General features: G+C 34.9%; 1 protein-coding gene across 14 annotated transcripts in view; it reads right to left on the reverse strand.

Annotated features, from left to right (window-relative positions):
* The window catches only part of LINGO2 (leucine rich repeat and Ig domain containing 2), a 1,275,985-nt gene that overhangs the window by 537,116 nt on the left and 723,916 nt on the right, over window positions 1-14,953 (reverse strand). For all 14 annotated transcript variants that reach the window (NM_001354574.2, NM_001258282.3, XM_047422814.1 and 11 more), the window contains one exon: window positions 1,208-1,293. The gene's annotated coding sequence lies outside the window, so the exon portion shown is untranslated. The remainder of the gene's footprint in view (window positions 1-1,207; window positions 1,294-14,953) is intronic.

Genomic DNA, 14,953 nt, shown 5'->3' on the forward strand with positions numbered 1-14,953 from the left:
TTCACTTGCATCACATGAGTTTTACCAGTGCTGTATGGTCAGCTGTCACCTGTCTGTATGGTCAGGCTGGTGTCAATTTGCAAACAATAACTGGTCTGCACCATGAGGATTATGGATATTGGGAGAAAGTATGAAAAATGTTATATAAATGAGGTAATTTTTTGTTTGTAGAATGATAATAAATAAGAATAAAAATATAAATCTGTATATTTTCTGTCTTCTTTTTATCATTTCATTTTTTCTAGCAAGTTTTAGTAATTTTACAAAAACATTCAATCTACAATGCATTAAAAATAAACTGACTCTTAACCCACAGAGAGTCTGAGAAGCACTGAGCTCTAATACATCCAGAGAGCCAATTAGTCTCTCAGAACCTGAATTTATCTGTAAAAATATGAATAATGAACTCCACCCTGCATTTTTTACAGAGTATGTGAAAACTAAACACAATTACGTATTCATAAGCTATTTATACCTATAAGGCCTCATATAAATATACAGTCATCATATACTAAGTAATAATTATTTGTGAAGTAGCATGGCATCTCAGCTAAAAGAAGCCTGGCATCTATTAGATACTAAAGGTTTTTATACTTTTTGTATAAATACAAAAATAGAAATTTTGGCAGTGGATACAATTGCACACAAAATAACTGTCTCAGGGAGCAGCATATGATTTAAAGGCAAGTCACATCATCTGTTAATAGCAAACTTTCTTTATCTATAAAACAAGGGTAATTATGACTATTAATTTTAGGTTGAGGTGAGGTTGAAATAATACACGAAAGTATTTAGTGGTTATTACTTGGTATGTGAAAAGTATTAAGTATTAGTCTTATATCTTTAAGCTCTTTATGCTAAGAAAACTACTGAATTCTTTATATGCAATGTCTTAGTTAATCCTTATAAAAAGTTTAACCAGACAACAACAATAATCTCCATTTTAAAATAGGGAAACGAAGATTCAAACAACGTCAGCAACTTCCACAGTCCTACACAGCTACTTTAAATCCATGTCTGTCTATAAAAAAATGTGGTCAAGTTTCCCATAGAATACTACCTCCCTAAAGTCTTCCAAGTCATGAAAATACATTTCACAGGGTACATTTTAGAAGCTTTCTCATTTTATTTATAAACTATGCAGACTTTTTGCATAAGACACAGAATCGAAAGATATCCTGAAACCTAGAAAAAGAGACTCACTTACCAGTTTGAATTGTTGGGCTCTTCATGCTGGTAGTGGCCACTTTCGGTGCTCTGCTCTGAGCTTCTTCTCATAACCCTATTTCCAGGCTGCCAAAAAATAGGAAATGAAAAGAAAAATGACACTCGCTTGCTTCAAGAAGGATTTTACTATATTAATGGCCATAACGGTAATAATTAACATATATAGTATTTGTTATATAAAGGTTTGAAAGAAACACAGTAGGGATTAATTCACTTCACATGTGTGTGGTTTTCCATTTTGAAGTTAAGAATATTGTTATGTTTATCTGCAATCCACGGAACATAACAATCTATTAAAATTAATCATTAAATTATTTATTTATTTATTTATTTTGAGACGGAGTCTCGCTCTGTCGCCCAGGCTGGAGTGCAGTGACACAATGTCTGCTCACTGCAGGCTCCGCCTCCCGGGTTCACGCCATTCTCCTGCCTCAGCCTCCCGAGTAGCTGGGACTACAGGCGCCCGCCACCACGCCCGGCTAATTTTTTGTATTTTTAGTAGAGACGGGGTTTCACCGTGTTAGCCAGGATGGTCTCGATCTCCTGACCTCGTGATCCTCCCGCCGCGGCCTCCCAAAGTGCTGGGATTACAGGCGTGAGCCACCGCGCCCGGCCTATTTTCTTGTTTTATTAAATAGATGAATAAAGGAAACTCATGTTTAAAGCCATTCATATATTTGAAGATCTGTGTACTTAAACTCCAGAAGGCAAAATGGTATTTTGTTATAACGTAATGAAGAGAAAACAGACCGGAAGGAGACAAGACTTGCTGTGTCCGTAAACCTGCTTTCAAAGGTTAAAATCTGACAATGTGGTCAGCATGCAAGTCTAAGATTATTCTTTGTCGTTTATGTATTTAATATAATGGACAAGTCAAAAACAGTAATGATTAATTTATTAAGGAAAATTTAAATCCAATCAGTTAAAAACTGGAATCTGCTTTTGGAATTGTAAAGTTGTAAAAGGAAATGAGATGTTCTTTTCAGGATTAGAATATGACATTTCCATTTTCTTGATCAATCATTTCCTTCTTCCCCTACTCCACACCAGCTCCCTTCAGTGAACCACAGAAAGAGAGAAAGATAAGTTGGCAGAAAACAGTAGAAACTATTCTAGGATCATTTGCACTCTCTCAAAAGAACTATAATGAGGAAAAAAATGCTTTCTGAAAATAATTAGAATGTCAATCACTTTCCTTAAACTTCATGTTTACATATCAGATTTCCTACATGACACTGCCACTTGTGTGACCAATGATAATGGCAATAATTACGTATTGTTTACACTGTATCATGAACTGTTCTTAGTATTTTAGGGTATGATCTAATTTAATATTTACAAAAACCCTGGAAGGCAGGTGTTATTAATATCCCTACTTTTAATGATGAGAAAAATGAGGCACAGTTTAAGTGAATTATTCAAGATCCACAGCTAGTAAAAAAAACAGGGTAGGATTTGAACTTTTTCAGAACCCATTCTCTTAATCTTCAAGGTATTCTATTACCTTTCAAACTTGACCCAAATTGAAATTCTCCATTTTCCTCATATACCTTCTTAAGTCTTCCCCCATTTTCTAGGAAACTGAAACATTTGCCTTGTATTCAAGCCAGAAATGTAGGCATCTCCTTGATACCTTTCTTTTCCATGTGATTTTACAGGCTAATTATAGCTAATACCCATATAATTCACTTCAATACTCCAATTGAAGCTACCATCATCTATCCCTTAGAATATAGCAAGAGCTTTCTACCTGTTCTCACTGATCCCACGCTTGACACCTTCTACAATAAATTGCTCACATAATTCATAGCGTAAATCATCATTTTACTTCTTTGGTTAAAATTATTCAATGGCTTTTTATTGCACATGGAATAAAATACAATGATCTATTGTGGTCTACAACTTCTGAAATGAGCTGGCTGCAGCCGATCTCTCAAACATTACCGTATATAGTTCTTTTCCATTTTTCCACTAACTCATTTTCTAATAAGCCATGGTCTTCAGCAACTAAGGACTTTGGGAATCAACCCTGGAAGGCTCTGAGACTGGATACTTTTCATCCCACAGGTCTCAGTTTAAAAGTCACTTACTCAAAGAGAGTCTTTCCTTCCATCATAACCTACAGCCATGTTTTAATTTATCTGTTTAATTATCTATTATCGCTCCTCCTCACTGAAGAAACCAGTAACTGTCAAATAGCGCTGAAGTAAGCTTGTGCAATGAGGCATCAGAGTGATTATTTCAGGACATATATATTGATTTTATTTATACCAAACAACAACATTTATATGTGATTTTAACTAGCAGCATTTGTTTTTTTCCTATCTGAATCATTCTACTAAAATATATGCAGCCCTCTAATCTTTGTTTCTGTTTTTTTTTCTCAGTTTGATTTAAAGCATTGCTTCTCAAGCTTAAAACAAATATGAGTTACATGGAGATTTATAGGCACATTCATCAAACTGCAGATTTTTCATTCAGTGAGTCTAGGGTAGGGCTGCAGAATCTGTATCCATCACATAGGTTACTCTGATGGTGTTGATCTACCCACCACATTTTGAGTAACAAGAATTCAGAAGATAGGTCACAGTTTTAGATGGTTTCAGAAAGATTCTTGAATGATTCCTATTGTATATTTCTGTGTGTTTGTGTGTGTTTTCCATGTGCAAAAATACTATTATAACAATAAGTTTTTTAAACGTACATTTTCCTCTTCAGACAAATGCCATTCCTGTGAGATCAACAATACATCACTAAGTAGTTAACAAACCATACATACTTCTTCTCTTACTTACTTTGTAATTTGTCAATAATTCTGAATAAAGATTGTCCTTGCCTTGAAGATAAGTGTGCACCCTGATGTCACCTAATGCAGACACCTTTAAATTTAATAACACATGAAATATATAAAATACTGGAATTTTGTAATTGACCAATATTTGAGCTAACTTCTGCACTTTTCTGTGCTTTTTTCTATATTTCTGATTCCTTTTACAGTATACATTTTAGCTTTCATTCATGAAGTCCTATAATACATTGTGGTAAATATGTGTGTTTATATACTTTTATGTACTTATGTTATTTCATTTAATTGATAAATTGATGAAATTAAAGTTAAAAGTAGTAGTTATCATTTTGGGCTCTTACTAATGGCGAGGCACTGTATTAGTGCTTTGTATATATTAACTATCATTACAAAAATGAACTATTAATACATAGAGACAGAATTTTGGGATGGAAGAATTAGTTCAAGCATATATATTTTAAAAGTGGCAAAAATGATATTAAATTCAGTTATGCTCAGCCTTGTTTTTATAATCAAGGGAAATTTAATTTTTTTTTAAAGAATCATATCTCTGCTAGAAGATATTTTAGGTAGCCAATTATATTACAAAAGAGAACATAGGAACTAGCTTTGTATTATATACTTTATTAAAGGACAATATGCCAAAATAAGAAGTGTTTGCAAAAGCACAGGAAATGTCATTATAAATTTTACAGAATACTGATTACAGTCGTTATTTCCAAAATTTAGCAAAAGATCATTTTGTTGCTAAATATTACTGCCAAAGATCTTTCTGAAGGCATAGGTTTTAATCAATTTTGAAAGAATGAAATAAAATAAGTAGATGTTTAATAATGGCAGACCCATGTAATACATAAATGCTTATGTCTGACATATTTTTCATTTAAGAATGATAGACCAGGTGACAAGAATATGCTTATTTCTTACTTGTCTTTTCAGCAAAATTTCCAAACAACAATGTATTTCAGGAACATGTGTCTAGTTCCTTTAAAGAACAGTCATTGGTCCTATCTATAATGACTATTTCTCCCATATAAGTACCATACTGAAGAATGTCTTAACTACTGGAACCATGTCATCTGTGTGTGTGTGTGTGTGTGTGTGTGTGTGTGTGTGTGTATGTGTGTATGTGTATATATACGTAGGTATATATATATATATATATATATATATATATATATATATATATATGTACATTTTGAGAGAAACTTAAATAGGGTTACTTCCTAAGCAAAATTTCAACCACCATAATAAATTGCTATTATTTGTTTTGATAGATTATGTAATGCTATGATTTCTGTGAGGTTCATTTACGTTTACAAGGAGTTGCTATTATAATCATTGTAGGTCAATAATGGTTTCACTTAGATTCAATTATCAAAACAAGAACTTTTAACAACACAGGAAAGACAAGGTATTTGCCCAATGGGTTAGTATGGCTCTTTTCTAAGAGAGGTTTAATAAGAGCTGGTCAGTTCATTTTCTTCATTATTTGAGACCCACCTTATGATTTTCTTTGCACATATGTTCAAATGCTATCTTCAATAATTTCTTTGAAAGGAAACACTTAAGTGCCTTCATAATATAAAGCATCTTAATTCTGATTATGTTTGAAAGCCAGTTATTCAGAGAAATTTATTCTTTTTCAAGAGCAGATGGGAACAGGCTCAAGGAATCCATGGCAGAAGACACAAACATGGAAGTAAAATGACAATTGTTTAGGTAAATTTCTGATAGGAATAAAGAGAAAAATAAATTGTAGATTGAAGTGTTTGTTTGTTGGAAGGGAAAACAAGGTTAAAAATTAAAGGGGGAAACTATTGCCAGGAGGAAGAATTCAGTAACTTTAATATCCTTCAGTTAATGTCTTACTGGAATAACTTACCACCTCACCTTGCAACTGGCTTCTCAGATTTCAGTCTCTTTCTTGTGCAGTCTACTCCTAAAATGCTTTCAGGCTTTCTATCCAATTTTCTTACTTTATTTTACTTTCAATTTTTTTTGTTAGTATCCTATCTGTCCTTTTAGGCCCTGATTCCCTTCTATAACATATAACTTTATAGAGGGTTAATTGACTTTCCTGAAGAAACAAAAGGCATTGCGACTTCTCTATTTCTATGGCTCCAACCACCTCTTGCCCCTTACTGCAACAATTTCTCAACTAAGTCATCTGCCTCAACAACAGTCCTGCCTCCTTTTCATACATCAATTTTGTTCCCAATTTCACCAGATTAAATTCTCCAATCCAAAACTATAATGTTGTCAACTCATTATCAAAAGATTTCTCAAGCTCCCCTGTGTAATACAAGGTTGGAGAATGGGCATGGAGCCCCATTTCTAACTCCAAAGCCTGGGCTCAAAGTCTTCAAATGTCTTTGATTTACCTTTTTGGGCTCATTTCCTATGTGCAAATTCATAATGCAAAAGTGTATTGCAAATAGTTAAGATCTTCATAACTGTGACTAAATTCATGCTCAGAAAAAATATGCAAAATAATTATTAATATCCATATTTTGTAATGAGACAATTGAAACATGGAGATGTTATGGCTACTCTAAGCCTTTAGTTAACCTAATAAATAGTAGTAACCAGGCCTTCTACCTCCACAGCCTATACGCACCAAAATTTATTTGTCCTCTAATTTGCATGATTAGCCACTTCTTTAAATACTTTATTTTCCTTTCTCTGAAGACAGATTTGTGCATATTTATATTCAGAGGAACATTCCTTTGAGTCTCTTTATTTTCAAGTATTTGTCACCTTCCAATATCTAGATCAAATGCTAACTCCCTCTATTACTTTCAACTGGAAATGCTGTCGCCCTCCTCTGTGTAAGTTTTATTTATTTATTTATTTATTTATTTTTTATTATTATACTTTAAGTTTTAGGGTACATGTGCACAATGTGCAGGTTAGTTACATATGTATACATGTGCATTGCTGGTGCGCTGCACCCACTAACTCATCATCTAGCATTAGGTATATCTCCCAATGCTATCCCTCCCTCCTCCCCCCACCCCACAACAGTCCCCAGAGTGTGATGTTCCCCTTCTTGTGTCCATGTGTTCTCATTGTTCAGTTCCCACCTATGAGTGAGAATATGCGGTGTTTGGTTCTTTGTTCTTGTGATAGTTTACTGAGAATGATGATTTCCAATTTCATCCATGTCCCTACAGAAGACATGAACTCATCATTTTTTATGGCTGCATAGTATTCCATGGTGTATATGTGTCACATTTTCTTAATCCAGTCTATCATTGTTAGACATTTGGGTTGGTTCCAAGTCTTTGCTATTGTGAATAGTGCCGCAATAAACATATGTGTGCATGTGTCTTTATAGCAGCATGATTTATAGTCCTTTGGGTATATATCCAGTAATGGGATGGCTGGGTCAAATGGTATTTCTAGTTCTAGATCCCTGAGGAATCGCCACACTGACTTCCACAATGGTTGAACTAGTTTACAGTCCCACCAACAGTGTAAAAGTGTTCCTATTTCTCCACATCCTCTCCAGCACCTGTTGTTTCCTGACTTTTTAATGATCGCCATTCTAACTGCTGTGAGATGGTATCTCACTGTGGTTTTGATTTGCATTTCTCTGATGGCCAGTGATGATGAGCATTTTTTCATGTGTTTTCTGGCTGCATAAATGTCTTCTTCTGAGAAGTGTCTGTTCATGTCCTTTGCCCACTTTTTGATGGGGTTGTTTGTTTTTTTCTTGTAAATTTGTTTGAGTTCATTGTAGATTCTGGATATTAGCCCTTTGTCAGATGAGTAGGTTGTGAAAATTTTCTCCCATTTTGCAGGTTGCCTGTTCACTCTGATGGTAGTTTCTTTTGCTGTGCAGAAGCTCTTTAGTTTAATTAGATCCCATTTATCAATTTTGGCTTTTGTTGCCATTGCTTTTGGTGTTTTAGACATGAAGCATATCTACAACTATCTGATCTTTGGCAAACCTGACAAAAACAAGCAATGGGGAAAGGGTTCCCTATTTAATAAATGGTGCTGGGAAAACTGGCTAGCCATATGTAGAAAGCTGAAACTGGATCCCTTCCTTACACCTTATACAAAAATTAATTCAAGATGGATTAAAGACTTAAACGTTAGACCTAAAATCATAAAAACCCTAGAAGAAAACCTAGGCATTACCATTCAGGACATACGCATAGACACATTTTAAGAAAGATTTTTCTACCTAGCCCATGTTGCTCTGTTCCAAGATAACTTTATTACCTGGTGGTAGTTACCTAAATTGCAGGCACATTGTAAAGAAGAATTAAATAGTCTCAAATACAGGATTTGCATTTCAAAACCTAAAACGTGCAAGGTATTGGAATCCCATTTCAGCTATACAAGTTCAGGATAGGTAGATTCATTTAATATAAAACAACTTTTGTTAGCATTCAGATTGTTTCTCCTTAACTCTATTATCATCATTTGTCTAGCTCTTCACTACTGTTGAAAATCTTGCTGATATTCCTATCTCCAAAGCAATGGACTATCTGCTGATAAAGTGTTTATTTTGTGTACTGCAGGCATTTTGGAAATAGCTCTTGGATCAAACTAAATGAGTTCCAGTATAAATAAAGAACCTAAGACATTGCAGGTGGCACTCAGCAAGATATTGGTGTGACAGCTAGAGATGCGGTGTGACCCTCTGCAAATGATGTTTTGTATTGAGTGCAGGGTCTAATAAAATGAGTTCCATCATGGAACTTTTGTGCTCATTGAAATCTGTTTTAAACCTAAATATGAGGTTTCACTGCTGCTTTAGTGACAGGAAAAAAAAAAAGATAAAAAAAGAACTGTAACTAGGATGGTAGCTTGAGTCACATTCAGGCCTTAAAATAACTGTTAAGTATGTACTTTCTATTGTAATCAAAGTGAGAAGTGAAATAATATTTGTATTATATATGTTGTCTCACTGTGGCATTATTTCAAATATACTGAAACATGATTTACTTTATTCTAAAACTTATGGCACATTTTACAGTTTGATTCATTTCCTAACATTTTCAATGCTGTAGTTCATTAAATTATACTTGTTTCATATAAGCCACCAAGAACATCCACTGTTAACCTAAAAAGATTGGGAGGAAAAGGATTGTTTTAAACACATTCTATTTCCTTCATGTAGATCAATGAAGACAGCTTCCTAAAGAACTATATTTTCCTCACTGTTGCAGGAAAAGCTTCAGATTATGGTAACTTAAGTAGAGAGAAAGAAATACCACCTCAATATACCAGGCTAAGCTTTATCTACAGCCTGGGCATTTAATTAGGGGTTCTAGTGTCAGCAACAGCTTCCAGTAGCATGGTCTTTTTTAAAGTACCCTTCACCTGAATGAGGTGAGTAAGAATTGCTGATGAGGTTTGACTATCATCCATTGGGAATAGCCTAATGACTCACATAATTACACAATCTTCAAGTAATAAGCGACTCAGTTTGTCCAGTCTATCTCCCATTCAATGTGGAGTATACCAGCTTTTGTTGACAAGGAGGGCCCATAATGTGGTTCTCTTAGCACCAAGAATGGAGCTTGAAACAGCAGCTCCAACTGTTGGATAAATCTGTTTATATAGAGTGGAAGGCTTGTACCTGTCATACATCCGTCCAAGTTTTGCCCTCTAGAACTATACAAAATACACAGAATCCCAGTTTCATGAGGCAGCTCTTCAAGTAATTGAAGGAAGTTATCACTGCCCTGCAGGATATAGAACATCTTTCAGACTCAACATCACCACTTTCTTGAATACAAAATGGCAGCCACATTCCTCACGTGACATGTTTGTAGATACTTCACTATTCTGGTCACCCTCTTTTGGATGTACTTCAATTTGTCAATGTCTCCTTTTAAAATACATTGAACACTGTATGACATTTCTGGAGCTACTAGCAGACATGGAACACCATGAGAATAACTAAATTTATCTGGCTTGTGACTAGTGACAAGGTCTAAACTTAAATAAAATTTCTATTTCCCAAAAGTGGTCAGAGAAGGAACTTTACAATATTAATGGATTAAAAATTCAACTTTAAGTCTGCTGGTGTTACAAAGTAGTGTCAGAGAGAGACATCATCTACAGGGTGTTGTGAGCAACCCACAGACAACACTTCAATCAATTGTCTGTTAAGTCTCCAAAATATTGAACTCTTAGAGAGGGATGGAAAGAACATCTGTCAGAGAAAGGACATCTAGGTCATGACTCTCCCCTCAAACAGCTCAGTAAACTTGAACAAGTCACTAATGCCTGTGGTTCTCAGTTTCTCCATTATCAAGTGAAAGCGTTGACTAAATCATCTCTAAGATTCCATGTAAACCATAATATTTCCTGGTAAGGGATTTCAATGATTCCCAACTTCTTATTTGTCAGAAATCATTCTAAAATCCTGTCTTTGATTACAATTTGACCCAAATTTAAATAGTTTTATCTTCAATAAAAAGCTGAGAAAAGTGCTTCAGCAGTTCCTCCAGTCTTCCTACTTACTGGTTCATTGGCTGATTCACTAAGCAACTTACTTTATTATATACTATGAGCACAGCACAGTGCATGGCACTCCGGATGATACAAAGTAATATCATCACAGCTGTTTCTCTTGAAGAACCTACAGTCTAGTTATGTAGATATACCTACACCATAACCTAGCTAGACTATAATATGCTACAATTTAAAGTGTAAAAGTATGAGTATCAAGTAAATGATAATGACATTAAATAATAGTAGAATCAGAGGAGAGAAAGCTCATTATAGCCTGAAGAGATGAAAAATACCTCATGAAGGATATATAAGGAGACAGTATAAGTTGATGAGGTAGGATTTTGATATCTGAGAGAGGGAAGTATTTGTGTACTGATAAGATAAAGCATATTTCTTGATAAAGAGTCTTCCATTGCTCTAGAAATTATGTGGCCACAGCATGCAACAACCCTGAAACATGGTTGCTGAAACCAACCCCTTGTACACATATTTCCACCCTGCTTAGTTAGCAAGATACAACCATCAGTCACAAGGTTTGACACTCCCATGGGGCCTGTGCAGCCCTGTAACTATTAGGAGACCTAAGAACAAGAGGAGATATTTACTTTTGGGTTCTAAAATATACTCAGAAGATATAAGTGGAAAAAAATATCTTGTTGGCAACTGGCATTGAAGGAGGTGATTTTGAGCCCTGCAACTGCCAAATCACTATTCTTATTCTTGGTGTCTCTACTGATTGGTATGGCAGAGGTTACTTTAATTATGGAGCCAGGTGACACAGCTTGGAATGACTAACTTTTTGGTAGGAGAAAAGGCACATACTCTCGGAATTAATTTCAATTAGTCTGAAAAGACATCAATTTAGTATGGATGAGGAGAGCTGAGGATATCCTTCTAATGCTGATTTGAAATCCAGCACGTCCAGACTACTGAGTGTTGTTCACTTCTTCTAATAATCTGCTTGAGGGTAACACTAGCTGTTGTTTGGCCTAATTATTTTCTTGATGACAACAGGCACAGCAATGACAATTGAAAGATTCCGTGTGGCAATTTCTTACACACAAGAAAAGTAAATGTAGGTCGTTATGTTTGGCAATTTGTGTGTTGCAAATGACTGATAGAAAGTAATAGGTGCTAAGTAAATACTAAGTAATTGAAGTCTGACAAAAACTAGGGTTCCTTTGTGTTATTTAGAGAAAAAAAAATGTTTATTCCAATGAAGATATTGTCTCCTGGAAATTTTTCCCAGTGCCTTATATTTTCCAAAGAAAGTACACATACATACATATGTTCATGTGCATATGCACATGTGTGTGCATGCATGTATGTGGGTGTGTATGTATTCTTTTTCTATTGCTCAGATTTCCTTTTAAAAAGGTATTCCTCAGGTACAGGAGACATCTAGTTCTGTTATAATGAATAGTGCTCTCGTTCTATGAGGCCTCCAAACAAATGGTACTTCAATGTAAAAAAAATCTTGGGTTGACCCTCCTTCAACTCATGAAACACAACCTCATGTTCCAAAAAACCCCACAAAATGGAATTTTAAAAATAATAATAAAATAGTGATATAAACTCACAATCTATGACTAGAGATAGAGTTTATAGGACATACAGCCAGACTCTCTTTTGTAGGATGCTTGCAGTCTCTCCATTAAGGGTACTGAGTTATTTGACACAAAGAGAAAAAACATTTAAGAGGCTGAGTGCCAAGCAGAGACAGCGGGAGCAGTTCCAGAGGAAGATGGCCTCAAGGTAGAGTAAAAGAAGGTATGGAGTCAAAAATGTAACCCATATATAGAGTAAACCATAGAAAGAAAAAGTGGAGCTCTGCTTGGATGGAAGAAAGCCCATATAAAGTTACAGTTCCTCACTAATCTAACAGATCATATTGTGGAGACAGACATTGGTCCCCATCGGGTAGGAAACTAGCTTCTTTTCATCCTCTGTACCTTTCCAATAGCAGGTGGTCTTCTAAGAGTTTATAGAACACTGAAATCTTTTGATAAATATTCTTTTAGTATGCTTTTCTCACCACTGTGATTTGGGGAATGCATTAAAGAATAAATTGATATTTTCAATTTTGACTCACCAGGTATTTCTGGAATGCAGGTAAGGTGATTTAGCATAAGCCAATCCTACTTGAATAAGCCTGATATGATTGTTTTAGAAACAACTAAATAGAGTTTGGGTCATATGCATAACAATTCTTATGCCAAAATTTTAAAGGAAATTTATCTGAAAACCTTTGAAAGCCACATTTATGAGAGCCAATTTATTATAATCAATTCTCCCATGGAACATTCTCTACTTCTTCTCAACTCACATGAAATGTGTTGGAAATGTCAAATTTCCCAATGAAAGGTTGAATAAAGTGTATACAAATATCCATAATACACCCACAAGAAATACTAACATAAACAGCAGCATAAATCTTGATTTTTTCTGCACTGTGACACCTTAGGCCTGAGAATGCTGCTAGCTACATTCAGACTTGATCCTAATTTATTGCTGATATGACACAAATGTTAAATACAGCTGCAGCCATTAACCGAAACTCATTAATTAGAAAATAAAATTATGGAATATTTTTTCAGCTTAATTTGCCAAGATGCTCTCAGTCAACACAGGTTAGGTGTTTGATGAAGCTTCCCAGCTTTTAATATGACCCATAATGTATAGATCAAAAGCCAAACAAAACAAGAGAAAACAATTAGCTATTTAGCCTATTTAAAAGTATACACACATGTATACTCTGAAAAGCATGCTTTTAAAGTATAGCCCTGCTGACATCTATTTTGAATATATACACATTCTTTCTTACCAAACCAAATGACAGTCATTTCTCTAGGATAAAAACATTTCTCCCACTTTCCCCATGGAGGTGATTTTGAGTAGCAAAAAAGCTACAGGAGTCATAGGATAAGAATTTCAAGAGCTAAAAATTAATGTGGATTCTTAAGGTTTCTGTGCTTTTTAATGTTTGGCAAATATTTGAGAGTGCCTGCAGAACTCTAAAAAGACATTAAGAAAAAACTTTAAGAGATGTAATGATATCCCACATAAACAGGGAAACTTACTGAATACTGTAGCAAAGAAACACTGACCCAAGGAACTGAAATATATTACTTACTAATTAAATTAAATATTATTATAAATAGATCCAACTTCTTCACAGAATCATCCAAAGTGAGTTATCCTAAGACCATTAAGGCAAGACAATATAGGATAGTGGTTAAAACACCAGCTCTAGAATGAAACCTTCAGTTAAGGTCTTAGCACTGCCATTAATTGTTTATATATTAAGCAGGTTATTTGACTTATCTAAGTCAACCCTTTCTCATTTGCAAAATAAGAAAACAACAGCACATATTTCATATACTTGTGAGAATCAAAGGAGTTTTTTTGTGTATTTGGAACATAATGAGTCACATATGTAGTTATTTTTAATTTTGCAAATATTATTAAGTAGTATCTCCAAGTATAAAACTTCAATGAAAGATTTTTCTAGAAATAATCTCATCAGAGCTATCTTTCCACATGATGGTCCTGGTTATACTAAATCACAGTTCAAAGTTAAATTGTAATGGTGCTTGAATTAATCATATTATTTGCTGTCATCAAATTGTGTGATGGTGAATAAGGCTGGATAAATATTGGTCTATAAATGTTCGACCAATAAACAAATACCTTATATTTTGTCCAGTGTTTTGAAATTTACAAAATGTTTTGAAATAAATTATTTTTATTTGTTTAGCCAATGCTATTGAGACCGAGGCTTCAAGAACTGCAAAGATGTTTAAAGGAATCAAAAAAGCTTATATTCTAATGATGCATATAGGGTAGAGGTGGGGAATTCCTCTACTCACTTCTCTACATTCTGGCATAAATTGTCAGTTTCCAGAATACTGACTGAGCAATATTTATAAATGATCATGATATCACACTTTAAAATGTCACAATCCAGGGAGGTGAGAGTAGCTTTTCTTCTACAATTCACTGCAACCTCCATCTCCGGGTTTCAAGAGATTCTCCTGCCTCAGCCTTCCAAGTAGCTGGGACTACAGGCATGGACCACCACGCCTGGCTAATTTTTGTATTTTTAGTAGATACAGGGTTTCGCCATGTTGGCTGGCTAGTCTCGAACTCCTGACCTCAAAGTGATCCACCTGCCTCAGCCTCTCGAAGCATTGGGATTACAGGCATAAGTCACTGCGTCCAGCCCATCCTTCCTTTTAATATTGTGGCTAAAAAAGGGCTTGTTCTTTGAGGATAGGCCTGAACTTTTGTTCTCTTGTCTGTTCTTGTATTTTGCTGTGACTTTCTAAGTCCGTTAGCCACCTGCTAAAGCTGAGGTTTAGGAAGATAAGGAAGCTGGGCGTGGTGGCTCACACCTTAATCCCAGCACTTTGGGAGGCCGAGGCAGGCAGATTATGAGGT

This window comes from Homo sapiens, chromosome 9 (assembly GCF_000001405.40).
Source record: "Homo sapiens chromosome 9, GRCh38.p14 Primary Assembly".
Lineage (NCBI taxonomy): Eukaryota > Metazoa > Chordata > Mammalia > Primates > Hominidae > Homo > Homo sapiens.